We start from the raw sequence: 19,395 nt of genomic DNA on the forward strand, positions 1-19,395 counted from the left end.
TGTGTTCTATCAGAAGACAAGGAATAGTAATGTCTGCAGTAACAATGGAGCTCCAGTCCTGGATTCAATATCTGCCCTCTATAGCTCAGTAGGGATTAAGAGGAGGATGGCATTCTTTCTCTAGAGCTAGGCTTTGTCTCTCTTTCCTTTTCTTTTTTCTTTTTTTTTTTTTTCCTGAGACAGTCTCGCCTTGTCACCCAGGCTGGAGTGCATTGATGCCATCTCAGCTGACTGCAGCCTCGACCTCCCAGGCTCAAGTGATTCTCCCACTTCAGCCTCCTGAGCAGCTGGGACCACAGGCACACACCACCACACCCAGCTATTTTTTTTCTTTTGATAGAGATGAGGTCTCACTATGTTGCCCAGGCTGGTCTTAAACCCGTGGGCTCAAGCAATCCTCCCAATTCAGCCTTTGAAAGTGCTAGGATTATAGGTGTGAGCCACCATGCCTAGCCTCTTATCTATTTTTGGGTAATGAAAAGCTTTAGCCTTGACTAAAGAGAATTTTAGACATCAACATGCATGAATAGGTATTTGCGAGGAGAATATTGAAAAAGTTGTCTGGGCAAGGCACAGTGGCTCATGCCTGTAATCACAGCACATTAGGAGGCCGAGGCAGGAGGACCGCTGCAGGTCAGGAATTTGAGACCAGCCTGGGCAACATAGTGAGACCTTGTCTCTACAAAAATCAAAAAGTTAACTGGGCATGGTGATGGTGGTATGCACTTGTAGTCCCAGCTACTCAGGAGGCTGAGGTAGGAGGATCACATGAGCCTGGAAGGTCAAGGCTGCAGTGAGCCAGGATGGTGCCACTACACTGCATTCAGCCTGGGTGGTAGAGTGAGACCCTGTCTCAAAACAAAAACAAAAACAAAAAAACAAAAGAAAAGAAAAAAAGAAAAGAAACAGTTGTCCAATAGGCTACTGTATGTTCCCTGTTAGGAATGTGCTAGAAGCATTCAGACCAAGGGCCCCTGTGAACACTCTGGCTTATGTTGAGGGGAAATACTCCACAAGTCCAGATGCAACACGTGCCACAGATTCCACACGGGCCCACGGGAGCAACACAGGCACTCCCTGAATCACACTCTCCTTCAGTGGGAAGTCTTGTTTCCTAAATTCACTAAGGATCTGCCACCTAAATTCTTCTGTTATTTACAGAAAAACAAACCCTGTTTCCAACTTCAAATTGTTACTGGCAGGCAAAACAAGAAGGTAAAATGGTTTTATTTCTTATACATCTATAATTACTCAAAGCACAAAGTACTTTTATTTTTGGTCTCAACTTAAATTTTTCAAAAGAACAGGAAGAGTTTATTACAGGAATTGAAAGAATTTGAAGTAGCTTTCAGCATTTTTAATACAATGAAGAGTTTGGCTTTAAAAATGTTATGGGCTATCTTGAAATAGTTTGTTACATCTTAGTGCATTAACTTAAATGTATTTGAACTAGTGAAATACGTTTGAAGGCACACATTGTGTTTTTCTGTCTTGCTTCATGCTACCTTGAAAATAGTCTGGAAAATAGCTGTGCCCTCCTGGCTGGGGTTCTTCCTGTGATGGACCCTAACCAACTTCGTCCAGCCGAGTTGCCATAATAATAACAATAAAACTAATGTCATGTTTCTTCCCTTGCCTTAGGAGAGGGGTCCATGACATAGCAGATGCCATTTGATGATGTCTATGTAATTCTTGATTGGATATATGTTTTCCTTTTTCATTCTAACATCTGTGCCCTGTTTACTAACTTATGTATCTCACTTGATTTCTCTGAAAAGATGGGAAATGTCATCAGCGAGATGGCTTAAGGACTGCTGTCTGAGGAAATACAGCACATTAAACAGTGTATATCCACCTATGCACTCCCTGTACGGATGGCATCCATGCATTCATAATGCTCAATGCCATATTAACTTTAGCTTGATTTTCCAATTTGTTCTCTGTGAAAAGCAGAGTTAGGATTATATGAGAACTGATAAAACTGTCTAAGATGGTCTTCTGAATACTTTTATTAAATTACTACCTACCCATCTATTTTTAAAAATTAATTAATTAAATTTTTGAGACGAGTCTTGCTCTGCCACTCAGGCTAGAGTACAGTTGAGCAATCTTGGCTCACTGCAGCCTCTGTCTCCTAGCGTTCAAGGAATTATTCTGCCTCAACCTCATGAGTAGCTGCGACTATAGGCATGATCCATCATGCCTGGCTAATTTTTGTATTTTTAATAGAGATAGGGTTTCACCATGTTGGCCAGGCTGGTCTCGAACTCGTGATGTTAAGTGATCTGCCCGCCTTGGCTTCCCAAAATGCTGGGATTACAGGCATGTGCCACTGTGCCCGACCCTATCCATCTATTATTAGGTTACTGAAAATAAACTTCTATTTTTTGTTGGGAAAATTTCACCACATTTACATTTATTGGGAGATATTTGCCATCAGAAATGGCAGTGCTGTCCAGAGCCATTGGTGGGGTGGGCGGAATCAGCATCTAGGATAGGGATCCAAATCGGGGTTGTTAATCAAGGGACCACCTTATGGATTCCAGAGTGGGCCCACATCCGTTATCCTCTATGGCTATCAAGTCAGCACTGGGAGGTGAGGAGAGAGGAGAATTCATCATTAAAATGCACTGCTACTTTCTTGGTTATGACATAATGAATAAAACACACAACTCAGAACTAGAGAAAAGGGTTCAAGTTCCAATAATGACAAATCAAGTGACTTAAGGTCATTTTGTTAGGTGTAGAGATGGGTGTCGTATCTAATTTTCTGAAATTTAATCCAGTACTTTTTACACTGTATTCTAATTATATATAATTTACTTGTTGGAAATGGATTTAACTTACGCTAATGTTACTTTAAAATGTGATGAAATAGTGTCAACTTATATTTTTACATGTACTTTTCAGTTTTCACTATGAATATTACATGTTTGTATATATATGTTACTGTAAAGCTTCCTAGTGAATATTATGCATAGTGTGCTTATTAGACAATTTAAGTCATTTTCAATATCATTCTGACCATACACAATTTTTGACCTAGTGTCACAACTTCAGGACCTGGTCCAATTGTAAAAATGTAATGTTGATGCACTAAGAAAACACCTAAGGATGAGCGTCAATAGATGTCCAAAATACCCCTTTAGTTGCAACCTTATTTGCATTTCTGATAATATGCTCTTTAAATCAGGCAAATACAATACTTGCCTTCTAAAGTTATATTGCAACTTTACAGCTTATAACCTAACCGTTATACAAAAAATCAAAGTGCCTACACTTAGATTTTTTGTGTTCATCCAGACTCAACGTGAAACTCTTAGAAGAAACCATCCAACAGGATTTCTGGCTCGACGGCAGACGGCCTTGGTCCTAAGCCTTAGTCCAAGTTCAATTTGTGTCCTGTCAAGGCCACTCTGCTGGAGAGGTACAGCTTTTTCAGTGGGGTTTGAATCAAGAATTGCCTCTTAGGCTGACAGTCCCAGATAGTGTCTCTTCCCAGCCTGCCTGAGCATCAGACCTAGATTCCACCCCTGTGGCTGCGAGTAGCTCTTGCAAATGCAGCCAGCATTTTCCTGGCTGCGCTCTAGGCTGGAAACCAAGGGAACTGCCTGCTTAGTTGAGGAGACCTGCCGGACCCTTTGTGCATGCAGGCTGGCAGCTCTGTCCTGGGACAGAGAACTGGAGTCCTTGAAGAAGGCCCATCACATGGCTAAACCGAGAGGAGTAACCCAATGTATAGACGGAGAGATGCAGAATACATTCCAAATGGTATAAATAAACACCATGGCTTCATTAAAGAAACATGCATAGTTTACATATACACCAAAAAGATGCAAATTTAGTCACCTAGGGCTTTCTAGAAAGTCCACAGTTTTTTTTTTAAAAGCACCACCTCTTGATATGAACCTTTTATGATAAAAGTAAACAATGGTAAATGGTTTATGCATTAATTTAACGCATATTAATTGCACTCCTGCTGAGGGTACAGTGAACACACAAGACATGTCCTCAACCCTCACGGAACCTAGAGTCTAGTCCACCTAAAAAAGTTGAGAAAGAACAATCTTACTTTATACGGATGACCAGAGATTTTGAAATTTTTTTTTCTTTTCTTGTTATCAAGGAAGGAGGTTAGACTCGTTAATATGAGAAGGGCTAAAAATTCTTTAAGTATTTGTAAGACATGTTGGTGTTCAGGAATTTCAATAAGGCTATTATAAAACCAATGCTAGAACCAATGGATTAGTTCCTAAAAGCAAATGCAAACTTTTGTCATTTTTCATAGCCTAAAGATTAAAGTGATAGTTGAAGAATTAAGTAAAGTTTATTTCAAGGCAACCTTTTTGAATTTCAGTTGATATAGGAAAAAAGGGTGTCTACTCACTATGAAAGTTACTCTAAGCTTAAGTTTACAATTTGGAAAGAAAAGGATACTACGTAAGAATGTAAATTTCATATATCTTTAATTTTTATGGGGTTGGGTATAATTTATAACATGAGTTTGCAAGGAATAGTAAAGGGAGTTAATATTTATTGAGCATTATTATGCACGAACTACAATCTTGGCACTTCCTAGTAATTAACTGGTTGACTGCTCAGAAACCCAGGAGGCAGAACCAGGCAGCCTGGGTGGAAGTCCTCAATCTGACAGTCACCAGCCTTCAGAACTTGGGTAAGTTCCTTTGACTTCAGGATCTCCCTCTGCACAAAACTGGGTGTTCCCAGCTCACAGATCAAATGAGATAATGCATGCAGAAGTTTAGCATTGTGCCTGGCGGGGAGCAAATATCTCTAAGGACAGCTGTCCCAGTTGGCCAGGAAATACTAGTGCTGGAAGGTGCCTCCAAGACTGCCTTTTCCAAGGTACCTTGCACTTCCCTGGGGTAGAGGGATTTTAGTGCAGAAGGCAAGTGGAGCCTGCAGTTTATTAAACGATGACTACGGAGGTCACTGGAAATAAGGCAGTTTTGTTTTTAAATGACAGACTGAGTCATTTTCCTGTTGTAAGAGCTCAACTCTGAAACTTAATAGGTTGTAATGATGCCTCAATTAGCTGGAATTATTGGGTATAGTGGAGATGTGATATTCTGGTTAAAAATATTCTTCAGATTACTGAAATTTAATTAAATCTCTGAATATTCAACTTAGTATTTTACAGAAATCATACCTCTCTTTCTTAATTCTAAATGAGAATTTTGCTTATTCTCAGTAAAATTTTCACGCAGATAGTACAATACTGAGGGCCAAATGGTAAAATTATTCTCAGGATTTTTATTGCAAGTAATCACTTTGATAATTGTTCTCAGCACAGAAATATTTAAGCAATTGACCATTTCATATTTTGGGGACAGCCTGTGGTTCTGCAAAGATTTCTTATTTAATGCAAAAATAAAACAACAACACAAATTTTATATCAATAGGAAAAAAACTCTGTCTTAAATTGCATTCTCTGGATAAATGTTTTGAGATGTATATAATCATTAAATATTCTAAATAATGAATGTTTTATTTTATGAGTGACCATGGCAAACACACACACACACACACACACACACACACACACACAAGCATGCACACAAGTAGCTGGTAATCACATTGTCCTTAATTTGCATCCAAAGAGGGTCAGCTGATTCTGAGACTGATTAGGAGAGAAGGTGACAGGCACTGCTAAAAGAGACACTTTAGGAGATAAACTAAAAATTGGAATTTTCTGAAAAACCAAAGAATTCCTTAGTTGTACAATGTTCAGGTACTTCATCAAATATGTTATCAATTATCCATAGCTTTAAATATTCTTTCTGATTTTGAATCAGAAACAAAACCTGCCATGAATTAAATTGTATTTGCTTACACAAATCCTTTTGTTTCTCCAAGAATGTCAAATGAAACTTTATTGTCATTTACTTTTAATTTTATTCAGAACTGCTTACATTGTCTTTTGGATTTCTGTCAAGGCATGGGGTAGCACTTTAATTAGCTTAATATTTGTAAAAGTATTTAAGAGCCCTTTCTGAGACTTCATCTTGCATAATATAGACATCATAATATAGCCTATAGAAAGATATTCCTCTTGAATATCTTTCTATGGGCTTATATTTGGGATGTGAAGATGTCCATTTCCCATGAAACTTATCACAAATTGGACCACTACTGCCCTTTACTTTTCAATAAACTATATTGAAAATTACCATAGTAGAAACTCATATGAAAAGTGGTTGGTCGCCTGGTGTACTGAGTGTGGTTCACATCTTTGGGTGCCTGCCGTTGTATAGTCTAGGGCATTTCACTGTATCATGAGTTAGACCTGAGCTCAGCATGTTTGCTCTCTGGAGATCCTGATAGCGGGGATGCCATCTCCATGGCAGTCTTGGAAACACGTAATGCTTCACAGGCAATTGTGATATGGAACACTTGTCTTCTAGGCCTCTTCATTCCCAGCTCACATATACACTCACCTCTCCTTCACTTACCCATTCATTCATTCATGGAACACATGCCAGCCATGAGGGATCAGAACTGAGTAAGCCTCTCTTCCTGCTGCCAAGGAGCTCCCAGAACAGTGGAGGGGATGCACATGAAACAGACTGCAGAAGCCACTGGGTGGGAACCTCCCTGAGCCATCGCCAAGAGCAATGGGTAACATAGAGGGTGAAACTCTAATTGCACTCTGGGGATTCCCATCTTCATGGGGGCAGTCATGCACAATCTGAGCCTCAAATGAGCAGGAATGGACAGGAGAGGTAAGCATGTTACAAACTGCCTGAACACTGACAGGAGAGACGATGACACTTGTGGACTGCTGCTTGGGTAGGTATCCCTGGGAAGGCGAGGCAAGATAAGGGGCCTGAATCCAGGTGCTGCAGCTGATGTAGGATGGCTGCATTCACTAGGTCCTGAGCAACCTTTGCTGGACATGAAAGATTTTAAAATTAGAAGCTCTTCTTTGGTGAAAGAAATAACTAAGATAAAAAGGGTGCCAGGTGTGGTAGCTCACGCCTGTAATCCCAGCAGTTTGGGAGGCCAAGGTGGGTGGATCACGTGAAGTCAGGAGTTCAAGACCAGCCTGGCCAACATGGTGAAAACCCCTGTCTCTATTAAAAATACAAAAAAAGTAGCTGGGTGTGGTGGCACATGCCTGTAATCCCAGCTACTTGGGAGGCTGAGGCAGGAGAATTGCTTGAACTCGGGAGACACAGGTTGCACTGAGCAAAGATCGTGTCATTGCACTCCAGCCTGGGCGACAGAGTGAGACTCTGTCTCAAAATAAATAAATAAAATAAAATGAAATAAAAGTGGAAAGTTGCTTATTTTGATCAATAGAGGGTGTCATTACAGAAGCAGTGCTTATTCAATGATAATTAAATAAATGTAATATCTATCTCCAGTGTTACAGAAAGGCCACCAAAGTGCCCCTTACCTTTCAAAGGCTTAGAGTCTAAATGGCTATTTTCCCACCAAAACCCCAGAGCTATTTCCTCCTTTACCCTGTGTCTCTGTACTGAATGCATCTTTTACTTCTGATCAGTGTCCGTGACCATGAATGAGCTTCCACCTTAGACTTCCCACGACTGCATATGTCCACCGTGGCTGACAGATGTGGGGCTCCCTCTTTGGGGCTAACGCTATTTCTCCTTCTTTCTTTCTCCTTACACAAAACAGATATTCTGAATTTTATGCCATAAATAAAGGCATGTTATATGTAACATATTGTCCTTTACATATACTTAAGATTTCGTGTAATAGTGTCCAATTCGATTGAATCAGTGGTGTCCTTTAAAAGCTCATTATATAAACAGGCCGATGTGAAATGCTAAGCTGGTGACAGGGCAGCCCCAACCTCATTAGTCAGTTAGATCACCGGCAAGTCTGCCTGCTGACAGGCCATGCCACAAAGGCCCACTACAGAGATAGATTGCACTCCTCCATGAACAATGTATTCAGTCGATTCACAATCTAATGAGAGCCAGGCTTCCTTTTAATAGTCCCACAACATTTCACCCTTTGGCACTAAAGAGAAATTTAACTGCAATGCACTGACTTTTGTGGCTGCTTTCTACAGAGAGAGAAAGGATACAATGCCTTTTAAAGCCTCAGAAGTTTCCATTTTTAGTTATAAGAGCTAGATCCTCTGTGGACAGACACCTCTCTCATGCAGGACCCAAAAGATCCAAAAAGCTTTTGAGGCCACAGTAATACCTGGTCTTTTTCAGGGCAAAACACGAGAGAATGTGTAAAGCTAGTGGGTAAAACTTCACAGTCTTCAATTCAAGACAGAGTGAGTCAGCATTCCATTTGTAGAGTGGCGGGAATGCGTGTGGGGTTATGGCTTGCTGAGCGTCTTTATTCTACAATGTGTGTGATGCTCGCAGGGGGTGGATGTGCTTACAAAGACCAATGACACCACCTCCCACACTCCTCGGCCTGCACTTTCTATGCAGCTAAACAGTCATATCACGCTGCCCGCTGGAAACACAACTCATTGGCTGCGGTTGAGAAACGCTGACACAAAGGGGCTCGCTGCATTAACGCCCGTAATACCAAAGGTGGTATCCGCCCCAACAATGAAAATCCATTTTTGTTACAGAGGCTGGTCATCTTATGAAAGAACCCATACTAGAAGGAAAACAAACAAACAATCAAACAAACAAACAGATGCAATGGTTAGAAGAGGTGTGTGATGTGAAGACCTTATTGTAGTTGTTGGCTGCCCTCTTCTCCCAGTGACGCCACAGAAAAAAAACGGTGAGGAAAGAGACAAGAAAAAAAATCACATGCCATGAGAGAAATTCAGAGCGGGGATAGTTAATGCAATGTTACAGAACTTTTGATTCGATAATAACGTTCTGGATGAAACGGAATTTGGCCTAAGACAGAGCCATCTCCAAGAGCACATTCAGGAGGATGACTAATGCCATGGCCCACCAGGTCAGGGCCATGCTACTGACCTGAAGGCCATGGAACAGTGGTGGTTGGTGATGAGCTTGCTCCAGAATCAACACTGCTTCCTTACTTGAGAAAATTTGCTATGGAAACCATGGCTGTTGAATGAAACGATGTGCTTAGTGATGCAATTGTTTACACTGTGGCTCAAGCTTTCTTTCTCTCCCAGCTACTTCCAACAAACACTAAAGTAACCAGCAGCCAGTCTGCCTCTATGGGCCACACATGGGGTAGCACTGCCCTGGGAGTCAGTGGATTCAACAGCTCACTTCACTGGCAAGAAAATTTAGGGGCTTTCTTGAGAACACATCTAGTTAGTGGCACAGTGAGGACTTGGCCTGTTTTCTGCCACCTCGGTGGACTGTCTGCCACCGCATGCTTTGCCATTTAAAAAAAGCAATTTGAAAACATTTTTGCTGGGATGAAATGAGAGCATGCAGTCAGGGACATCAATTTTACTATTTCTGTAGAGACCACTGCTTAGACCTTGATCAAGATTCAAGGAAGAAAAAAAAAAAAGATACAACCACTTTATTCTCTGAGACACAGAATTTGCTGTAAAAGTATTCAAAATGTGGATACAAATACTGCATTTTAAGAAAAGGGCTTTCAACTTAATTTTGAAAAAATAAAAGTTTTGTAAAATTCGAGAGTCTTGGTGTCATAACACTGAACAGGAGTGAAGGGCTCGCCCTGGGGGGAAAGCACCGAGAATACAAATGTTTGCTGAGTTTACCTTCCATGTGACCCTGATGCTCTGAGATGATATAGGCTCCAGGTGAACTTCCTGAGGTGGACCATCAGGAGCTGTAAGGACCAAAAACCCACAGGCAGGTTAGAGACGCTTTCCGGAGCAGATCGAAGCCTACACAGCCAAAGGTGGTCCCCGAGGACAACCCATCCCTATGTTTGGCACAGAGAAAGAAGTTTTTAGCGGTCATGGGAAATGTCAATTTTGTAGAATTACTGTGTCCAACTCTAGGCCTTTGTTTATTTGCTCTTTGGAAACATGAATCTTGGGGACCTATCATGGTATTCCTTCTCACCATGTCTTTGACAACCTCGTGAATCAATCCCAATTTTGAACAAGGGGTACAACAGAAAGTTGCAAAACAAAATTTCCCTTATGAAATGCTGTCTATGGTGTGTATTGAAGGTCCTTCTCTCCCCGCTGGAAGCTTTGCTTAGTGATGTGGTATTGGGGTTTCTCAATTGATTAGAATGACTTCGGGCAAAAATAATCAAGATTCTTCTGCCTTTGGGTGTCTTTCATGGCTTTTGTTCTTCAATTAAAAACCCTTGTGGCCGGGCACGGTGGCTCACGCCTGTAATCCCAGCACTCTGGGAGGCCGACGCGGGCAATCACGAGATCAGGAGATTGAGACCATCCTGGCTAACACGATGAAACCCCATCTCTACTAAAATACAAAAAATTAGCTGGGTGTGGTGGCATGCACCTGTAGTCCCAGCTACTCGGGAGGCTGAGGTAGAATTGCTTGAATCCAGGAGGCAGACGTTGCAGTAAGCCGAGATTGCGCCACTGCACTCCAGCCTGGGCGACAGAGTGAGACTCCATCTCAAAACATAAACAAACAAAAAACAACAAAAAAACCCTTGTGAACCAGGGGCTCTAGCCACAGAGTGCTGAAGCAATGTTAAAGAGGAAACAAAAGTGTGCAATTTAAAGCAACCTATTTCTGCTGAGTGTGCAATAAGTCAGTGGGCCAATGAGAGACAATCCCAATTACAGGGGGCCAATGAGAGACAATCTCAATTACAGGGAGCCAATGAGAGACAATTCCAATTACATCCCAGTTAGAGCTGATAGGCATGTGTTGGAAATGTGCTACCTACTAGGTACATGGTGTAGAACTAAGAGATGTAAAACATTTTGCCAACCAAGAGTTCAGAATGTAATCAGAGCTATGAGATACACACACTGAAAGAAGGTTGCAATGCAAGGCAGCAGGAAAACAGGTGTCTTCTGAGAAGCAGAAGCAAATGACGACACAGAGATCAGAGGGAAAGAATCCTTTAGATTAAAAAATGTTTTTGGATTGACAATTTTTAGATCACTGCAGAACTACAGAAAGCCAGTTCTGTGGACATTTGCAAAAGGTTGTATGGCACACGGGAGATAAGAAAGCTGAAGTAGTGGATATGAACTCATTTTGGGGAGTTTGGAAGTAATGGGAAAAGTAAAGCTATCTTATAGATAAAGGGTAGATTTGGGGAAGCGCATGACTAAGGGAAAGCTCCCTTCCTTTTTTATAAAGGAAGAGGAAGTTCTGAGTAGTAGCATGATGTAGTTGCTAAGTTGATGGGCCATTTGAGTTTTTTCTGTCCAAGTTCACATTCTGGTTCTATCACTTGTTGGCTGTGTGCTTTTTCTGCGGGTTACTTAGCTTGTCTGTGACTCCATTTCTCTCTATATATAATGGGCCAATGGAATTTGTATCATAGGGTTGTTATGAAAACAATGTGCTCAGTAAATATAAGAAATCATAATCATAATATAATTATCATTAAGTGTTTGTAAATAGGGGGAAGCAAATGGGAGAAATTTAACAACAACAACAAAAGGTAAACTTGAAGGAATAATGAATGTCCTGGCAGAAACTGAAGAGGGCAGAAGATACAGGCTATGGAGTGAGTGGGGCAAAGGAACAAATACCTCTGGGATGGGAGGAGGGCAGAGCGACGGGAGGCCTTAGGTAGGCTTACTGGTTGAGGGAAGCCAGGTGAGGGCAGACACAGGTAAACTTACTGGTTGAAAGAAGCGGGTTGAAACCTGATTGTTGCTTTTCTCAACAATATGACAATAAGCCAAGCAGGAAATCAGAATGGGAACATGAAGGAGAGAGTTATGGGCTTTGGAACAAAACAAAGTCTTGGAAAATGGCTATGGTCTATAGAAAAGGGTGCACCCTGTGTCTTAGGGCACTAAGGCGCTCTATCAAGGTGCCCCTCCCCAGGAGTCAGTGCTCTAAGATGCAGGGATTGCTACTCCAAGAGGATAATGGGACTCCACAGCTCCGTCCTCGCACTGAGGACCAAGCAGGAAGCTGATTCCGCAGGTCAGGGCTGGCGGGACTGGGAGAGAATGATACTATAAGAATGCCAAGAAACGAAGCCGATTCTCCAGCATATGTGGTTTGTTATGGTTTAGAAATATGAGTTTGAAAGGAAATGGGGACATTGCGGCCTCGATTTTCCAGTTAAGATGTACTTATAATTAAAACAAAGGTGTTAAAAGACAAGAGCTGGAGAGAGAGGAGGTGGGGGTTAGGTCTCTGGGCTGTTTGTTCCCTGCACCCCTCCTTCACACACTTGCTGATGCTGTCCCTGACATCTGATCCAAATGGCCCCTGTCCTATGCTTTCTCCACCATCGTCCTTATGGGGATCCCTATCTCTCACTCTGATACCCCACTCCCACCCCACTTCTATGCCTGGTGACAGTTTCTATTTAGTTCCTAAACATTAATTCTGGTCTCTATTGTACTCTTTTAAAAGGGACATGGCCCCAGAGCACAATTCACACTGTTCACCCACCCTAGTAATTTTCTGCTCCCAGAAGGCACCTCGCCGTCCTCTCCACGCTTTCGTTCCGCGCACTCCCTATGCACCCTGTGTCCCAGCCATGTCCAAAACACACGGGACCCCTGGGTAGAGCCGAGCCTTTTCCCTGGGGCTTTCTTCTCCCTCCATCAGGGTTTGCCGCCCATGCCTGTGAGCCTCCCGCTGCAGCTGACACCTGCCTAGGCCTGGGGACCTGTCCCTGTAGTGTGCATATATGTTTGCGTGTCTGTCTTTGCATGTCTCTGGTCACCCAGCAGACTCTACATGGCACCAGGAACTAAGCCCAGAGTGAGTCCTTGCTTTGAATGGGTAAAGCAATTTGTAGATGCTGAAATGCTGAGCATGCATCCCTCTCCTCAGCAGGTCCAGGGACAGCTGGCAGTCTGGAGTGCTACAGCCTCTCAGATCTATTAGTTCCAAAAATGCAAAGGCTCTGCTAGAACTGAAGTTAAAGTCCAGAACAGGAGCCGAGGGAGAGAATGGCTTCCAGCTAATGGTGATGATTATTGTTGAGCCTCTGCACCCAATTTCTTGCACATGGGGTCAAGCTCTTAGGCAGGAAACTTTGGACCTCAAATTCAATAAAAACTCATGGAATGGATTTCCCTCACACACAGATAATTCTGTGCTCATTGAAAAGCACACGGTTTTCCATAAAAATCCTTGAAAAATGATTTTTGAGTCTGACAGCTATACTGAGGCTGGGTTACTTTAATTTAGTTACACTTAACTGAATTTGACAAGAAGCCAGTTTGTTAGGAATTGGAGGCAATGTCAGGAGCACTGTCTCATCCTGAATCCTCTGGGCTCCCTGGGGCATGGCCTTTGGTGTGGTCCTCTCAGGAAGATGGCACACAAGAGTTGCAACCTTGATTTTCCAGTTGAGATATATTCATAATTAAACCAAAGGTGCCAGCATAGTGTTTACAAGAATGTCCCCAATTCTATCAGATAGCATACATATCATAATGTAATCATGAATTGGGAGTAACTTACTTTTCCAATCTGGTCTGGTATTTATTTTATTTTTCTTGAGACAGGGTCTCACTCTGTCGCCCAGGCTAGAATGCAGTGGCACTATCTCGACTCACTGCAACCTCTACCGCCCAGGTTCAAGCTATTCTCCTGCTTCAATCTCCCAAGTAGTTGGGATTACAGGTGTGTGCCACCACGCCTGGCTGACTTTTGCATTTTTAGTAGAGATGGGGTTTCGCCATGTTGCCCAGGCTGGTCTCGAACTCCTGGCCTCAAGTGATCCGCCCGCCTCAGCCTCCCAAAGTGCTGGGATTACAGGTGTGAGCCACCATGCCAGGCCCAGGTCTGGTATTTTATGAAGGTCCCCACTGAAGAGGAGAGGGGGTACAGTTCTTGTATCCAGGACAGACTTAACTGTTTTTAAGAATGTAACAGCTTTATTACTTAGCCTACCAATGCTGCCATGATTTGTCAGTAATGTATTTATTGTTCTGCCTGTTCCCTGAAGTGAAAGCATTTGGATCCCTCCTCCTAAAAAAAAAAAAAAAGTGATGAAAACAGTCCAGACAAACCAAAATAATTTAATTTGTACAAACACACAATAGGGCTATGTCCAATATCATTAGGAAGGTTTTTTGTTTGCTTGTGTTTTACAAAGGGCACTAAATTTTCTACTATGTTTCTAAAACATTACTTTAAAAATTTTTTAAATTATAAAAAATTTCCCTTCTTTAAGAATTTTATTGCTTTCTGTATAACTCCTGAGCTGTAATTTTTTCATAGGTTATCATCTCATTGCCAATGATGCCTATAAAATTACAGTCCAAAGCCGATTGAGTTTCCAATGCAAAATGTATTAAGGGTCAAAAATTAGGTATATCCATTTATTTAACTAAATTTGAAAATTGTGTTGACATTGGAAATTTAAGAATTTACTTACATGGTTTCAAATGTAATATATAGAAAAAGCAGAATTGGCTTCCCCACTTTGGAAGCCAAAGTGGGCAGATGACCTGAGGTCAGGAGCTCAAGACCAGCCTTGCCAACATGGTGAAACATGGTCTCTACTAAAAATACACAAATTTGCTGGGTGCAGTGGTACATGCCCATAATCCCAGCTACTGGGGAGGCTGAGGCAGGATAACCGCTTGAACCCAGGAGGCGGAGGTTGTAGTGAGCTGAGATTGTGCCATTGCACTCCAGTCTGGGCAACAGAGCAAGACTCCATCTCACAAAAAACAAGTGATTTTACAAAATAAACTCTGCATTTCTAAGAAATCCAAAACTCTTCGATCTGTAAAGCAGTAATAAGCGAAGACTATCTTTATAATTTGTATTATGTTTGCAAAGGTAAAAGTCAGGACAATTCATTCTGTTTGGCTGAAAACACAGGGATGACAGGCACCTCCTGATTGCCAAACGCATGGATCTCCGCTTTGCTTCCCTGTCCTGATCCTTCCTGGCTACGCTGTCTCTGCTTCTGTCCCTCCCCAGCTGGACAACCTCCCACTGCCCAGCAGCTCCTGTGTCCCTCCCAGAGCTGAGACTCAAGCCTCGGTGCTCCATTCTGCTCCAAAATACTCTCCTCCCTGTCTCAATATCTTGGCTTTAGCCAGCATCTTGGGGCCTCATCATTAATTGATATGGGCTCAATCACCCCAGTGAGAACCAGTCCCACATTTTTGCCTCTGGTTCTGATTGGGAGATTTGCCTTCTATGTGCCAGGTCCTAAACTAGGCAAAGACTGGGATACAAAAGCAGAAAAAAATATATAAATTTTTAAAAAGTAGTGAGGAGCAGCTGCATAATTCTACAAACACACGTTTGTCTTCTACAGGAGTTGGGTGGGTGGGCGAGAGGCATGCTCTGTGTTGGACAAAGGGAACCAAGACAGTATTTAGTAAAAATCAAAATACGACAAAGAATAGCTGGTGCCCAGATGGGGAAAGGCTGAAGTCATGTAATAACTACTTATTAAATAAATGGCTGATTTATTTAACCTACTTATTTAATTAGCACATCCTATGTGCTAAACACCAATCTAGGTGCCTGGGATACAGCAGTGAGTGAGCAGAACAAGCAACTCCACCTGCCCTGGTGGGATGGGATCAAAGCAGACCATAAGCAAAATAAATCAACAACTTATACAGTACACTGGGTGCTGATACAAGCGACTGCTAGAAGGAGAGTGGTAAGGGAGGCAGGGGACCCAGTGGAGTGGGCAGTGGGTTGAATTTTAATAGGGTGGCCAGGATTGGATTCTTGGAGAATAATATTTGAAAGTGGTAAGGGAAGAGACGAAGAACATTTCAGAACATTCCAGAACTGTTCCAGAACCTTTCAGGATAGCAGACAGGGGTATACACAATGTGTATGAGGGACAGCAAGAAGGCCGATAACTTTCTTTAGATTTAATTCCCAAAGTTTCTTCAAACCCAGGATGGAGGAGAATGACAAAAATCTACAGAGGCAGATCGCTGAGGGCCTGGTTGGTCATGGGGTGTGCTCGGCTCTTCTCGCTGAGTGAATGCTGTGCATTTGACTCTTACTGAAGAACACATTGATGCCGCCCTCTGCACTAATGAGCACTGCTAGCCCTGTGTTTGCTTCACATGCTCCTGACTTTTATTCCTTCTGCCCTCATTCCATCCTCTCCCCTCCACCCCAGCTCAGCACATAGGAAACTCTTCTTCCAGATCACAGCTGCTGCCCCGGAATGGGAGGAAAGATGAGGCAAGGACTTAACTCAGTGCCAGATTCATTGGAAACCCAGTGACTCTGCATCATGACCCTTCCATAATCCACACCTTCTATTCTCTGATGGTCTGTCAAATTCAGTGGTGTTTCAATGAGCACCCACTAATTGAAGCTGCATGTTCTATGCACAGATTTATAGTGAAAATAATGAAGGGGGCAGCCATCCCAAACTCGGTCACAAGGCACTAAGTGACTCATGACCTGCAGGGGGCAGCTGCTAATGGGGAAGTTGGTCTGTAGCAAGGGTTAGCTGTGAATGTCATGTGTCACGTGGCTGATCCGTGTCAAAGAGACACACTTCGGGTCCATTAACAGCTCATCTCATTAACTCCGACTGTGTCACTTATTCTCTTGACTGCTCCTTTGTTGTGGGGGCTGCTGGTGCTAGGGGTGGTTGGGGAAGCCATGAAGACTGCGCTGAATGGTGTGGTCTTGGCTTCATGGCTATTCTCTGAGGTCGAGTGTATTAAAGTGGTATGATAACGCTTTATGCACTTTCACATGCAACACATGCAAATAAACTGAGTAGTTTGGGGTTGGAGCAATGAGATTTCCCAACATTAGGTAGGGACACTATGCCAGTGGCAGCAATCCCTTCCTCACTAAGCTTTGCAGTAGATACAGCAGAAATCTAAAACTCAAATTCCCATGGTGGCCAGACTTCATCAGAGATCCATAAACATTTCTGTAAAGACTCAGATAGTACAAATTTTGGGCTTTATGGGCCCATGTTATTCTTTTTTTTTTTTTTTAAAGATGAAAAAACTATGCTTAGTTCAAGGTCTGTAGGTGAAGTTTGGCTCACCGACTGTAGTTTGCTGATCCTTCAATGAATGGAGGATGGGAACTATGGCTCACTGAGGGGGTATGGTCAGCCTCTGGGATGGCCACTCCATGCTTAACTCCAGCTCATTGCTGCCAAGCAGGAACTCAAGAGGAACTCAAAATTTAGATTTTCAGCTGAAATTTCCAGATTTTAAAAATTAACATCGAATTTAAAAGTTTCGCACAACACTGAGCCGACTCACATCCACAGGCCTGGTCTGTCGTGGGCTGCAGCTTATGGCCTGGGACATGCCCTATTCCATCAGGATGCGGGGAGGGCACCTCAAGCTCCAGATGCAGCCATTTCATGGGTGGTCACTGGAGCTCTGATGGGGGCTGTATTCTTTCCCCATCTTCTTTCCTCTCAGCCTTCCTGTCCTATCTTTCACCTTTCTCTACTTTTCTGCATGAAGTCCTTGTCTTAGTCTTTTGGGGCTGCTATAACAAAGTACTCTAAACTGCATGACTTATACACCACAGAAGTTTATTTATTTCTGTTTCTTTTTTTGACAAGGAGTCTCACTCTGTTGCCCAGGCTGGAGTGCAGTGGCACGACCTTGGCTCACTGCAACCTCCGCCTCCAGGGTTCAAGCGATTCTCCTGTCTCAGCCTCCCAAGTAGCTGGGATTACAGGCATGTGCCACAATGCATGGCTAATTTTTTTTTGTATTTTTAGTAGAGACGGAGTTTAGCCATGTCGGCCAGGCTGGTCTCGAACTCCTGACCTCAAGTGATCCCCCTGCCTCAGCCTCCCAAAGTGTTGGGATTATAGGCGTGAACTACCGTGCCTGGCTCAGAAGTTTATTTCTTACAGAAATTTATTTCTAGAGGCTGACAATTCCAAGATCAAGATGCCAGATTTGGTGTCTGGTCAGGGCTCATTCTTCTGGTTCATAGATAGTGCCTTCTTCCCATGTCCTCCCGGGGCAGAAGGGGTAAGTGATCTTATTGGGCCTTGGGCCTATTGTATAAGGGCATACTGATGCTATTAATGATGGGTCCACCCTCACTTCCTAAAGGCCCCACTTCTTAATATTATTGCATTAGGAATTAGGTTTCAGGATATTCATTTGAAAGGGAAGGCATGAACATTCAGACCAGGGCACCCTTCAGAATTTCACTGTGGGTTTAATCCAGCATATATTTTCTCAACACACACATACACACACACACACACACACACACACACGCACACACACACACACGCACACACACATACTCTGCTCATTGTGACACCCATTCTAAAGGCAATACTGTGGGTAATGTTTATAAACGTTCATCTCATACTTTCATCTCCCTTATGCCAGACACACACAAGGGACAGAATTGTAAGCACATATGCCCCCTGATGTGGAGGGGGCCACAGCCCCTCCACATCAGGTGGTATATCATCATGGACAGCAGGGTCCATGAAGACATGATGATACACCTCAAAGGCTACTGTCAGCAAAATCCCTCCTCTGTCCTGAGCTGAGTAGTCCCTAACTACACATGGGAGATGGAAAAAGGCATTGCACCAGGGAGGAAGGCATTCTTGAACTTGACTTTTCAAGGAAGGGCACAGAAAAGGAGACATGGAACTTGTAGTGCCTTCAAGACAGGGGAAGAAGCACAACAATAGGGGTCTGGGAGCATGCAAAGGCAGGTGAGTGCTGGGCATTGGGCTCTGGGGAGTCACTAAGTGTCATTGCAAAGTAGTAGCATTGGGGGGCATCCTCGTGTGCCCAAGACTTGGGTACTAGATTACAGTAAAAGTGAGTGGGCTGACAGCTTCCGGAGGCTCCCATATGAGGAATAAGGGAACAGTGGGACAAGGTCACCTCAAGACAGCTACAGCTCCTAAAAAGATGTGCCTTTGGGTTTACCTGCTGGGAAGGGGCAGCAGTGTCTACAGCCCCTGCTCAATACTCTAATGAGGATGCCTTTGGCCAGAGCACCCCATTCTAGGTAAGTCACACATGGGAAATTGACTTTTTAATTTCAGTCATGCAAACCTATGAACCAAGACAAAGACAAGTTATCTGCTGTAGCTTTTCATTTCTAGAACCTGCTCCTTTCCTTCCCTTCCCCTTAGCTCCTCTGAATATTAAAGGAGAGGGGCTGTGTGGGGCTGCCACAGCCAGCACACCCAGATACAATACAAAAGGCCAGCCTGGGAGCCAAAGAGGCAGCATCTGCATCTGTCTGCAGACATGCCAGGCAGCTGCCCTGCAGACCAGCACCCCAGAGGCTCTTCACCTGGCCTTCTGGCAGGGAGAGAGCTGCTTCCATGGCAACTGCCAGCCGCAGCAGAGGTCACAGAGGAAACGAAGAA

The 19,395-nt window shown here is 43.2% G+C and overlaps 1 protein-coding gene across 4 annotated transcripts in view; it reads right to left on the minus strand.

Annotated features, from left to right (window-relative positions):
- The window catches only part of DSCAM (DS cell adhesion molecule), an 836,160-nt gene that overhangs the window by 146,540 nt on the left and 670,225 nt on the right, over window positions 1-19,395 (minus strand). For all 4 annotated transcript variants that reach the window (NR_073202.3, NM_001271534.3, NM_001389.5 and 1 more), the window contains one exon: window positions 9,680-9,750. Coding sequence is in view for 3 of the 4 variants with exons in the window: in NM_001271534.3 (NP_001258463.1) it covers window positions 9,680-9,750 (71 nt within the window). In the remaining variant the exon portion in view is untranslated. The remainder of the gene's footprint in view (window positions 1-9,679; window positions 9,751-19,395) is intronic.

The sequence above is a fragment of the Homo sapiens genome, chromosome 21 (genome assembly GCF_000001405.40).
Source record: "Homo sapiens chromosome 21, GRCh38.p14 Primary Assembly".
NCBI classification, from domain to species: Eukaryota; Metazoa; Chordata; class Mammalia; order Primates; family Hominidae; genus Homo; species Homo sapiens.